Source organism: Homo sapiens, chromosome 7 (assembly GCF_000001405.40).
Source record: "Homo sapiens chromosome 7, GRCh38.p14 Primary Assembly".
NCBI classification, from domain to species: Eukaryota; Metazoa; Chordata; class Mammalia; order Primates; family Hominidae; genus Homo; species Homo sapiens.
The window spans coordinates 143,029,260-143,042,576 of record NC_000007.14 but is presented as its reverse complement, the minus strand read 5'-3'; the positions used below and the strand labels follow the sequence as shown (position 1 = coordinate 143,042,576).

Below are 13,317 nucleotides of genomic sequence, written 5' to 3'. Positions count from 1 at the left end.
GCAGCAAAGCCATTCAATTCAGGAAGCAAGGGGAGCCAGAACAGAGAGACAATAAGATCCCTTTGGGGTGACCATCTGCTACATGTTTACAATGGCTGAAGGCAGAAAGGGAATCAAGATATTTAGATTCAAGCTCTGGAATCCAGGCAAGACCCATTGGATGCTGCTGCTCTGACAGTCCCTGAAAGATGTGTGTGGTATGTGGATTGCACTGGACTTCTAGCTCTGCTTCTTAAAATGCTGTGACTATCCTAGTGGACCACCCTTCCCTGACATGACTCACTCTTGTATGGGGGCTGACGGCACAGACCTTGGACCGTCTAGGTTTATATCCTGGCCCTGTGAATTGCCAGTTGTATGACCTTGGGCTGATACTAATCCTCTTGGAGTGGAATTTTCCCCAGATGTAAGATAAAAAATAGTAGAGCTAGCGTGAGCATCAAATTGGATTATGGCTGCCACATAGGAAGAGTTCAATAACAGCAGTTTCCGCTGTTGTTATTGGCATGGAAACTTCATTCTCATCATCTCCCCTTCTAACCCAACCGCCAACCACACTTCTTTAACGTGAAGGTGATGGGTTTGTGTGTGTGCGTGTGTGTGTGTGTGTGTGTGTGTGTGTTGATGCATCTATGTATGGGTCCAGCAGTGTGCTGGCTGCACACTTTAATTATAGTTAACTGAATGAATACCTTTAGAGATCCATAAGTAGTAAATAAAATCAGAAATGAGAGCACACAAATGAAGCCCTGAGAAGACACATGTTAGCTGTCTCTCTGGAACCACAGGTATTTCCTAGAACTGTATCCTGGCCATCAGCAATGACATCTAATCACAGAAGTGGATCTATCTCCCTAAGCAGTAAGCATGCAACCCTCTCACTAATCTTAATGCCAAGTCTAAACTCATCTTGACTAACCGAAACCGAATCCTTATAACTCATTCATTCTCCAGACCCAGCCAATGCATCTTAATTCATAAGTCCAGCATGGCGAGCTTTTCTTATTAGGTCATTTACTTCGGCGGCTTCCTGACTGTGGTACCCAGATTTTGACACGGAGACATAAGCCCCTTGGGAATGGGGCAAGCAACCCTGGCCCTGCTTTGCAAGTGACTCCACAAGTTAGAATCTGTCAGCAACTTTCATTGAGTCTGTGATGAAGAGACTTACTGTTTCTCCCTATACAGCCCAGGGCAGCAGTATCCATGACTGATGTCAGGCTGGAGATAGCATGGAGGTGGCAGGGAAATCCAATGAGAATGATTCTCTTGCTGTTCTTTGCTCCCAGGGATGATGGTGCTGTTCACCCACTCTGTTTTGAAACCTTTGGGTCTTGCTGATTTTAAGAAATGAGCTGGGCCAAATGGGAAACTTTAGACTCCAGCAGGGTGCTCCTTGTGGGAACAAGGGAAAGCCAGGAGTCCTTTGGGTTGTACAACGCTGATGCTTAAACTAACAATGGGTACAGTCAGACAGCAACAAGAGGCAGATGAGGACTGGGTCCAGCACCTCAGTTGTGTGTGTGTGTGTGTGTGTGTGTGTGTGGTGGGGGGCTTTGGAGTTCGACCTGGGTTTGAAATGTAACATTTACATAGTAGTTGTTGACTAAGCATTCATTAAGTAAATGTAACGCAGATAAAAATCTGGAATTTTATTCAATAAAAAATCCCCAATATTATGGGGATAGTAATGCCTCCCTCATAAGGTTAATTTCAGAATTAAATAAAACATGTTATGTAACACACTAGTACAGGTCGTCTTGGGGTATAGAAGAGCATGGTAGATGTTAGTAAGCTGACAAGAGCAAGCTAAGTTTGTTTAGCAATGCTCTTCTCCAGCCCTTTCCTGCTGTCTGGCCTCACTATCCCAGTGTTACAGGATGGAGGAGAGTCTGAAGCTTCAGGATCCCCAGCTGTGAGGTCCCCTTCCCCCTTTCTCCACTGCTCAGTCCCAAGGGGCTGTGTCTCCCTGGCACTCCAGCAACCATCCCAGACACTGACGTTGTCATAAACTGCACACTTACGCTCATGGATCCTCTTCATCATGTCCAGAGGCACATTTACTTATCATTATTGATAAGGACATGCCACACTCATTGCTGAGGTATTTATTGAGCTTTTACTGTGTTCCAGTATGTAACTTATTCACCTTAAAGCATCTGTCTTTGATTATAAGACTGCTGATCTTCAAAAGCACATTTGTGAGTCTCAGAATCTCAGGGTTGCCAGGATTCTTGAAGGTCACTCCACTCAACCTACTGGTGCTTCATTCCCTGCTGACAACAGCTGACTGCCTCCTGTAGAAGGGTGGTCTAGGAGTTCCCGGTCACTCATGTCAACTCAGCTAGTAAACTGCAGCATGACCTTAACAAGTCACTCGATTTCTGAGTTTCAGGCTTACAATATGTAAAACGAAGTGTTGGAAAACATTATCTTTCCATTGCTGATATTCTTTGGCCCTTATTAATATCATAGTCATTCTAATCTCTTGTTTCTCCACATCCAAATATGGATGCCCTCTGTGTCCCAACCCAGATAGAGGAGGAGGTATTTTTTTTTTGCCATGGCAGGCCTCTAAGTTTGTTTTTTGGGGGCTCTCTCTCTCTTCTCCCTTCCTTGTCACCACCTTCCCTTTGTCCTAGAAATATGTATTACATTCACAGAATATCTGGAAAAACCAAAACCCTGGATCTATACCTTATGCTTCCAAAAAATAATAAATTCCCGATGGCTCAAACAGACTTAAATGTAAAAAGTAAAAAATGGGATTTTTTGGTTTGTTTTTAATTTCCTTGGAGTATGAACATAGGCTTTTCAAAGGAAAACACGGATCCCGGGAGTCTAAAAGACTGTTAAGTGTAACTGCCTAAGGATGAAATATTTATGCAAGATAGAAACAAAACATAAAAACAGAAACATGAAATAAAGATTTGTTTGATTTATGCAAAATGTTCTCTTACAAACCTGTACATTCATTAAAGAAAACTGCAAATGATTTTTTAAACATGAAAAGAACTCAATCTCACTGTAAATTAAAAAAACAAACTTTAATAAGAATTGTTTTTGAATAACTGTTATTTTTTAGACAATGTACTGAAGATACAGCAGTAAACAGAGTGGACATGGTCTCCCCACTATGGAGCATATTTGATGAAGACCGATGTTACCATACGCTATAAAACCAGGTAAACACACACACACACACACACACACACACACACACTTACAAAATAGTGAGTTGTTTTGAGCAAGAAACTACGTGGTTGTCTTAGATCTGGGAGTGATGAGGGAGAAGATGTTTGGACAGACCTGTGATGAGGTCACAACAGAGGCTTAAATCCTACGGGGAGCTCTGAGCTAGGACGGCTTTCCAGAGTTGTCCTGAATTGTGCCCAGAGTTGTCCTGAACAGAAACTTGGGGCCTGGGCATTATACTTCTGCATCCATAGGCCATTGGATGCAGGCTACCTTAGAGGAAGGGCTATAATCTTGGGGAAGGTGTTTCTCTTTGATTGGGAGCAATTTGGGGGTAATTAGCATCTTGGTTCTGAATGGGAGTCCGGGCAGCGCACTGCAGCATTTACTGTAATATCTGGAAAGCCCCTGGCAGGGAACCTGAACATGGATATGTCTGTGAGGTTATGGGAAGCATCTATAGGAGTAATCATTAACTGGTATCTGGTGCTAACTAGGCACAGCATGGTGGGAATCACAATGAGCACTCTGAGAGATGGAGCAGCGTGCCATTACAGGAGCACAAAGGATGTCAGTGTCACTGAGCAGAGGAGTGACACAAGATGACATTAGAGAAAGGTATTTCTAGAAATCATGCAGAGCCTCACAGGTCTCAGGACTTTAACCAAATGGCAGAGAGAAAGGTTTTAATCCGGGGAGAGACCTGATCTAGTCTGTGTTTTAAAGGATCACGCAGGCTGCTATGGGGAGAACAGAGTAGACAGAGGGAAGCGAGGGTAGATGTGAAGGTCAGTTAGGAAGTTTTGTGGCAGGTCAGTAAGGTTTGTTCCTTCTCATTTCCTGTTTTGTGGGTAATGTCTCTGCCACTGGGGTAATAATCCTATCTCTAATAACATACATTATTAATGCAACCCTATATAGTGGATAGGTAATAACCCTATCTGTTCTACTAGTTTGCCAGAATGTCCTTTTCTTTCTCTGGGCCATGATGACTTCTCTTACCTGTGTCCGAGTATACTTATGTGGGAAAGTCAAACATAGACATGGAATGGCCTTGAGCTTAAGGATATTCAGCAAACACTTCTACTCACTTGTAAAATCATTAATCTAGGATAAGTTTATGTACTAGATCTGGTGTGGACTGTAATGGCCCATGATGTTATCTAGAGAGAACTGATTCAGACAAAAATGTTAGCTTTGTGGAGGAGTTCCATCCAAAGAGTCATGAGTGGAGAGTCCTCATGTTGGACTGAGAGGCTCAGGTCACCATTAAGAAGAAAGCTTGAAAACTAGCTCCATGGCTGGGCGCGGTGGCTCACGCCTATAATCCCAGCACTTTGGGAGGCCGAGGCGGGCGGATCACAAGGTCAGGAGATCGAGACCATCTTGGCTAACACGGTGAAACCCCGTCTCTACTAAAAATACAAAAAATTAGCCGGGCGCGGTGGTGGGCACCTGCAATCCCAGCTACTCAGGAGGCTGAGGCAGGAGAATGGCATGAACCCGGGAGGTGGAGCTTGCAGTGAGCCAAGACAATGCCACTGCAGTCCGGCCTGGGCGAAAGAGCGAGACTCCGTCTCAAAAAAAAAAACAAAAAAAAAACTAGCTCCATTTCGGCCCCTTGACTTTCACAAGGTAAAAGTGGAAGAAAAATTACACATCATGCCCATCAATGCCCTGATATTTCAGATGAGGGGTCTGATATTTCAAACCTAGAGGGCTGAAAATTCACACCAAGTATCACAGAGCTAATAAGTATGAGAAGGAATCAGCACTCAGGTTTCCTGATTCCAATTTCAATGTTTTATTCATGATCTTACGCTATTTTGAAATTTTTCCACTTTCACCAAAGATGTACACTTTTAAATTGTGCTCTCAATGTTATGGGCTCTACTGACAGAAAATATCTGTCTTCGTTTTTACAAAGAAAATGTTCTATTCCCCTAAGAGGTGTTTGCAGAACGTTGCTTAGAAATGTTTTGATAGAACTTAGCCAAAGAGACATCTGTTTGGGGAAGGGTCTGAAAGCTCCTTGCCACACTCAGACATCTATTAGGGCTAGATAAGCCATTTTCTCTTCATGATTCCTCATTTGCTCTCCCATCCTCATCTCTACCTCCACCCAAAAGCCATAATCTATTTAACTCACTTTGCCTACTTATTCTAATTGCTTTCTGACTCACTCCAATGCTATCTTTATCCTTCACCTGCCTTTACCTCATTTGTGTCCTCATCAGGCCCCCAATAACAAGCCCCATCCTCTGTTATATATTTTGGATTTCTTTTTATTTTATTTTATTTTTTAATTTTACTTTAATTTCTGGGATACATGTGCAGAACGTGCAGGTTTGTTACATGGGTATACATGTGCCACGGTGGTTTACTGCACCTATCAACCTATCATCTAGGTTTTAGGCCCCACATGCATTAGGTATTTGTCCTAATTCTCTCCCTCCTCTTGCCCCTCAACCCCCAACAGGCCCCCGTGTGTGATGTTCCCCTCCCTGTGTCCATGTATTCTCATTGTTCAACTCCCACTTATGAGTGAGAACATGCAGTGTTTGGTTTTCTGTTCCTCTGTTAGTTTGCTGAGAATGAGAGTTTCCAGCTTCATCCATGTCCCTGCAAATGACATGGACTCATTCTTTTTTATGGCTGCATAGTATTCCATGGTGTATATGTGCCACATTTTCTTTATCCAGTCTATCATTGATGGGCATTTGGGCTGGTTCCAAGTCTTTGTTATTGTAAATAGTGCTGCAATAAACATACAAGTTCATGTGTCTTTATAGTAGAATGATTTATAATCCTTTGGGTATATACCCAGTAATGGGATTGCTGGGTCAAATCGTAATTCTGGTTCTAGGTCCTTGAGGAATCACCACACTGTCTTCCACAATAGTTGAACTAATTTACATTCCCATCAACAGTGTAAAAGCGTTCCTATTTCTCCACATCCTCTCCAGCATCTGTTGTTTCCTGACTTTTTAATAATTGCCATCCTAACTGGTATGAGATGGTATCTCATTGTGGTTTTGATTTGCATTTCTCTAATGACCAGTGATGATGAGCTTTTTTTCCACGTTTGTTGGCCGCATAAATGTCTCCTTTTGAGAAATGTCTGTTCATATTCTTTGCCCACTTTTTGATGTGGTTGTTTTTTTCTTGTAAATTTGTTTAAGTTCCTAGTAGATTCTGGATATTAGACCTTTGACAGATGGATAGATTGCAAAAATTTTCTCCCATTCTGTAGGTTGCCTGTTCACTCTGATGATAGTTTCTTTTGATGTGCAGAAGCTGTTTAGTTTGATTAGATCCCATTCGTCAATTTTGGCTTTTGTTGTCATTGCTTTTGGTATTTTAGTCATAAAGGCTTTGCCCATGCCTATGTCCTGAATGGTATTGCCTTGGTTTTCTTCTAGGGTTTTTATGGCTTGGGGTTTTACATTTAAGTGTTTAATCCATCTTGAGTTAATTTTTGTATAAGGTGTAAGGAGGGGGTCCAGTTTCTGTTTTCTGCATATGGCTAGCCAGTTTTCCCAAAATCGTTTATTAAATAGGGAATCCTTTCCCTATTGCTTGTTTTTGTCAGGTTTGTCAAAGATCAGATAGCTATAGATGCGTGGTGTATTTCAGAAATATGTTTTGATATCAGTACCATGCTGTTTTGGTTACTGTAGACTTGTGGTATAATTTGAAGTAAGGTAGCGTGATGCCTCCAGCTTTGTTCTTTTTGCTTAGGATTATCTTGGCTCTATGGGCTCTTTTTTGTTTCCATACGAAATTTAAAGTAGTTTTTTTCAAATTCTGCAAAAAAAGTCAGTGGTAGCTTGATGGTAATGGCATTGAATTCTATAAATTACTTTGGGCAGTATGGCCATTTTCACAATATTGATTCTTCCTATCCATGAGTATGAAATTTTTTTCCATTTGTTTGTGTCCTCTCTTACTTCCTTGAGCAGTGGTTTGTAGTTCTACTTGAAGAGGTCCTTCACATCCCTTGTAAGTTGTATTCCTAGGTATTTATTCTCTTTGTAGCAATTGTGAATGGGAGTTCACTCATGATTTGGCCCTCTGCTTGACTACTGGTGGTGTATAGGAATGCTTGTGATTTTTGCACATTGATTTTGTATCCTGAGACTTTGCTGAAGTTGCTTATCAGCTTAAGGAGTTTTTGGGCTGAGACAGTGGGGTTTTCCAAATATACAATCATCTTATCTGCAAACAGAGACAATTTTACTTCCTCTCTTCCTATTTGAATGCCCTCTATTTCTTTCTCTTGCCTGATTGCCCTAGCCAGAACATCCAATAGGAGTAATGAGAGAGGGCACTTAGTGCTATAAATTTCCCTCTTAACGCTGCTTTGTCTGTGTCCCAGAGATTCTAGTATGTTGTGTCTTTGCTCTCACTGATTTCAAATAACTTCTTTATTTCTGCCTTAATTTTGTTATTTACCCAGTAGTCATTCAGGAGCAGGTTGTTCAGTTTCCATGTAGTTGTGCGGTTTTGAGTGAGATTCTTAATCCTGACTTATAATTTGATTGCACTGTGGTTTGAGAGACAGTTTGTTATGATTTCCATCCTTTTGCATTTGCTGAAGAGTGTTGTACTTCCAATTATGTGGTTGATTTTAGAATAAGTGCTATGTGGCACTGAGAAGAATGTATATTCTGTTGATTTGGGGTGGAGAGTTCTGTAGATGTCTATTAAGTCCACTTGGTCCAGAGCTGAGTTCAATTCTTGAATATCCTTGTTAATTTTCTGTCTCATTGATCTGTCTGATGTTGACAGTGGGCTGTTAAAGTCTCCCACTGTCATTGTGTGGGAGTCTAAGTCTCTTTGTAGGTCTCTTAAGAACTTGCTTTATGAATCTGGGTGCTCCTGTATTGGGTGCATATACATTTAGGATAGTTAGCTCTTCTTGTTGCATTGATCCCTTTACCATTATGCAATGCCCTTCTTTGTCTTTCTTGATCTTTGTTGGTTTAAAGTCTGTTTTATCAGAGACTAAGTTTGCAACCCCTGCTTTTTTTTGCTTTCCATTTATTTGGTAAATATTCCTCCATCCCTTTATTTTGAGCCCATGTGTGTCTTTGCACGTGAGATGGATCTCCTGAATACAGCACACCAATGGGCCTCGACTCTTTATCCAGTTTGCCAGTCTGTGTCTTTTAATTGGGGCATTTAGCCAATTTACATTTAAGGTTAATATTGTTATGTGTGAATTTGATCCTGTTATCATGATGCTAGCTGGTTATTTTGCAGATTAGTTGATGCAGTTTCTTCAGAGTGTCATTGGTCTTTATATTTTGGTGTGTTTTTGCAGTGGCTGTTACTGGTTTTGCCTTTCTATATTTAGTGCTTCCTTCAAGGGCTTTTGTAAAGGCAGGCCTGGTAGTGAGAAAATCCCTGAGAATTTGCTTGTCTGTAAAGGATTTTATTTCTCCTTCACTTATGAAGCTTAGTTTGGCTGGACATAAAATTCTGGGTTGAAATTTTGTTTCTTTAAGAATGCTGAATATTGGCCTCCTACTCTCTTCTGGCTTGTAGGGTTTCTGCAGAGAGATCCGGTTAGTCTGATGGGCTTTCTTTTGTAGGTAACCTGCCCTTTCTCTTTGGCTGCCCTTAACATTTTTTCCTACATTTAAACCTTGGAGAATTTGACAATTATGTGTCTTAGGGTTGCTCTTCTTGAGGAGTATCTTAGTGATATTCTCTGTATCTCCTGAATTTGAATGTTGGCCTGTCTTGCTAGGTTGGGGAAGTTCTCCTCGATAATATCCTGAAGTGTGTTTTCCAACTTGGTTCCATTCTCCCCGTCACTTTCAGGTATACCAATCAATCATAGGTTTGGTCTTTTCATATAGTACCATATTTCTTGGGGGCTTTGCTCATTCATTTTCATTTTTTTTCTGTAATCTTGTCACACCTTATTTCAGTAAGTTGATCTTCAATCTCTGATATACTTTCTTCTGCTTGACAGATTTGGCTATTATTGATACCTGTGTATGCTTCAAGAAGTTCTCGTGCTGTGTTTTTCAGCTCCATCAGGTTATTTATGTTCTCTAAATTGGTTATTCTAGTTAGCAGTTCCTGTAACCTTTTGTCAAGGTTCTTAGCTTCCTTGCATTGGATTAGGACATGCTCCTTTTGCTCACAGGAGTTTGTTATTGCCCACCTTCTGAAGTCTATTTCTGTCAATTCATCCATTTCATTCTCTGTCCAGTTTTGTGCCCTTGCTGGAGAGGAGTTGTGATCATTTGGAGGAGAAGAGGCATTCTGGTTTTTAGAATTTTCAGCATTTTTGTGCTGGTTTTTCCTCATCTTTGTGGATTTATCTGCCTTTCATCTTTGAGGTTGATGACCTTTGGATGAGGTTTCTGTGTGGGGGTCCTTTATGTTGATGTTGATGTTGTTGCTGTTTGTTAGTTTTTCTTCTAATAAGCCTCTCTTCTGCAGGTCTGCTGCAGTTTGCTGGAGGTACACTCCAGACCCTGTTCACCTGGGTATCACCAGTGGAGGCTGCAGAACAGCAAAGATTGCTACCTGCTCCTTCCTCTGGAAGCTTCATCCCAGAGGAGCACCGGCCTGATGCCAGCCAGAGCTCACCTGTATGAGCTGTCTGTCGACCCCTGTTGGGAGGTCTCTCCCAGTCAGGAGGCACGGGGTCAGGGAGTTACTTGAGGAGGTAGTCTGTCCCTTAGCAGAACTGGTGTGCTGTGCTGGGAGAATTCCTCTTGTTAGGATCAGCTGCTCTCTTCAGAGCCAGCTGGCAGGAAAGATTAAATCCGCTGAAGCTGTGCCCACAGCCTCCCCTTCCCCCAGGTGCTCTGTCCCAGGGAGATGGGAGTTTTGTCTGCAAGCCCCTGACTGGGGCTGTTACCTTTCTTTCAGAGATGCCCTGCCCAGTAAGGAGGAATCTAGAGAAGCAGTCTGTCCACAGCCACTTTGCCACACTGTGGTGAGTTCTATCCAGTCCAGACCTCCCTGCTGCCTTAGCACTGTCGGGGGAAAACTGCCTAGTAAAGCCTCAGTAATTGTGAACGCCCCTACCCCAACCAAGCTGGATCATCCCAGGTCAACTTCAGGCTGCTGTGCTGGCAGTGAGAATTTCAAACCAGCGGTTCTTAGCTTGCTGGGCTCTGTGAGAGTGGGACACACTGAGTGAGACCACTTGGCTCCCTGGCTTCAGTCCCCTTTCCAGGAGAGCGAATGGTTCTGTATTGCTGGGGTTCCAGGCACCACTGGGATACGAAAAAGACTCCTGCAGCTAGCTTGGTGTCTGCCCAAACAGCCACCCAGTTTTGTGCTTGAAACCCAGGGCCCTGGTGGCGTAGGCACCTGATCTGCAGATTGTAAAAACTGTGGGGAAAGCGTAGTAATCCAGCTGGGTAGCACAGTCCCTCATGGCTTCCCTTGGCTGCAAGGAGGGAGGTCCCCTGGCACCTTGCACTTCCCAGCTGAGGCAATGCCCCACCCTGCTTCTGCTCACCTTCCGTGGACTGCACCCACTGCCTAACCAGTCCCAATGAGATGAACTGTGTTCCTCAGTTGGAAATGCAGAAACCACCTGCCTTCTGTGTTGGTCTTACTGGGAGCTGCAGACCAGAGCTTTTCTTATTCAGCCATCTTGGCCCCTTGTTTGGATTTATTTTTTACAAAATATTTTCAACTCTATTAAGATTAAATTTTGTACAACATCTGTGGCCATTTATTTTACTTTTAAAGTTTTAATGGTACATAATAATTGTACACATGTTGGGGGTACATGTGATATTTTGATATATGTATACAACATGTAGTGACCAAATCAGGGTAAGTGGGATATCTATAACCTCAAACGTTCATCATTTCTTTGTGTTGGGGAAATTCAAATTCCTCTCTTCTAGCTATTTTGAAATACACAATAGATAGTCATTAAACTTGTCACCCTACTATGCCACAGAACACTGGAACTTATTTCTTCTATTTAACTGAAATTTTGTAACCACTAACCAAACTCTTCCTGTCTTCCCCTCCCCTATATCCTTTCTAGCTTCTGTTAACCATTATTTTATTCTGTACTTCTATGAGATCAACTGTTTTAGTTTCCACATATGAGTGAGAACATGTGGTATTTGTCTTTATGTGCCTGGCTTATTTCACTTAATGGAATGCCCTCCAGTTTTCTCCATTTTGCCACAAATGACAAGATTTCATTCCTTTTAATGGCTGAATTCTATTCCATTGTATATATACACCACATTTTCTGTGTTCACTCATCCATTGATGGATACTCAAGTTGATTCTATATCCATATTTGTTTTTGAGTTGGTTTTGGTCATTTTTATCTTTCAAAAATTTTCCATTTCATCAGGCTTGTTAATTGATTTCCCTTTTAAGGTGTCTTGTTTTTATTCTCTTCAACTTAAAATTAAAATTTTAATTATGCCTTTGGCTTATAACAGGTCAGGAAAACAAGACCCCTTCTATTACACAGTCTTAGTAATTGTGTGAATCAATACAAAATGTTTGGAGTGTAATTTGGTGCCAATAAAAAGTAATAGCTTCAATACATCTGCATTTGACCCAGACATTCCAACTCTAGGGAATCTTTTTTTTCTTTTTCAGAAATATAATTGTTTATGTACTTACATGTATACGTACTTACTTTACTTACAAGTACATGTTTATGTACTTACAAATATCTAAGAATATTTATAGCATCATTTTTTCATAATTAAAAATGGAAACAACAATGAAAATTAATTAATAAATGTCTATCTAATAAAGAATAGGACATCCACATAATGGAATCCTATGTTAAAAAAAAAAGAGGTAGAGTAATATGTGCTGACATGGAAAGATATATTTTATATGTTGTTAAATGAGAAAGAAAAGGTTGCAAACAGATTTTCACAGCCTTTACGAAAAAGAATATGGAGATACATGCTTGGAAAATTTCTCTAAAATTATATGGCAAGTATTTGGGCTTGGGCAATTTAAGGAATTGGAAGAAAGATTAATCCCAATTTATACCCTTAGGCACCAATTGAAATTCTCAGATTTAACAGGTGTACTTAAAATACTTAAAATGAAAACAAAAATGCAGACAAATGTTTTGTAATTCCTACTTTTTCTGTCTTACTCCAGCATTAGACAGATTTCCAACTTACATTTTGTCAGTTCCTCCAGGTTGCAAACAGAACTGTGTACATAAGCTGTCCTTATGCTCTCTCTACTTTGCAGTGGTCCAGCTGGTAATCAGGGACATGCCATAGGAAAAAAAAAAGTCTGGAAGAATCTTGCTGGAATGCATACAGATGCACATATATCAAGAGGAGTGAAAACCTGAGACAATAGAACAGAATAGAGTTCGATTTAGGGGAGGGACCTCTTACAGTATTCTGTAGGGTCCACAGGACTAAACGCAGGAGCCTTTTTAAAATGAATGAAGGAGTCATCAGGCTTTTTAGAAGATATTTGGTGAAGTTAAGGCTTTGACCAAGACCAATATGCAGACTTTTTTGGGATATTGGTGCATGTTTTAGAGGCCAATTGTGGTGTCTCCTACTGGGGGAAAAGGGTTGATTTAGGCTCCGAATAACTAGAGAAACTTGAGAAAAGCCTAAGATAAACGACAGAGGTAGTTGACTGTTTAGAATCTGAGACATCTGGAAACCTAGACCTGAGGTTTTCAGGAAGGCAGCCCCAGTATTAAGAAGTCCCTGATTGGTAAGATTTCAGGTTTTCCCGTCAAACAAAAACTTTCAAAAGTTCTAAAACTTAATTGGTCAAAAAATGGGAATAACTTAAAGTTTGTTCTGCTCCCACTAGACTGATTGCCTGGGGACTCCCTGAACGTGGGCTAATTAAGAAGTAGTAACTCGGTGATTAAGTACCCTTGGGAAGAAGGGAAGAGGGAGGAGAGGGGAGAGAGAGAGGACCCTCAACTTTGCCCAACACTCATTTCTGGGCTTTTTCCTAAGCTCCTCTGGGAGGACATTTCCCTTCTTCGCCATGAGTGGGGATTGCAGCAACTTGTTCTGGCCCCTGTGCATGGCTCAGCACTAGCAGGACAGGAGGTAGCCTCAGCGGAGCCCTAGAGAACATCAGAAGAGGCGGCGAAGCCCCTCTGTAAAG

The 13,317-nt window shown here is 41.4% G+C and overlaps 1 long non-coding RNA gene across 1 annotated transcript; it reads left to right on the top strand.

Moving 5' to 3' along the window:
* The first annotated feature begins 1,644 nt into the window (after positions 1-1,644).
* LOC105375544 (uncharacterized) lies at positions 1,645-13,317 on the top strand. The gene is made up of 2 exons (XR_001745395.1): positions 1,645-3,185; positions 10,090-13,317. It is a non-coding gene; the product is annotated as an uncharacterized LOC105375544 (long non-coding RNA).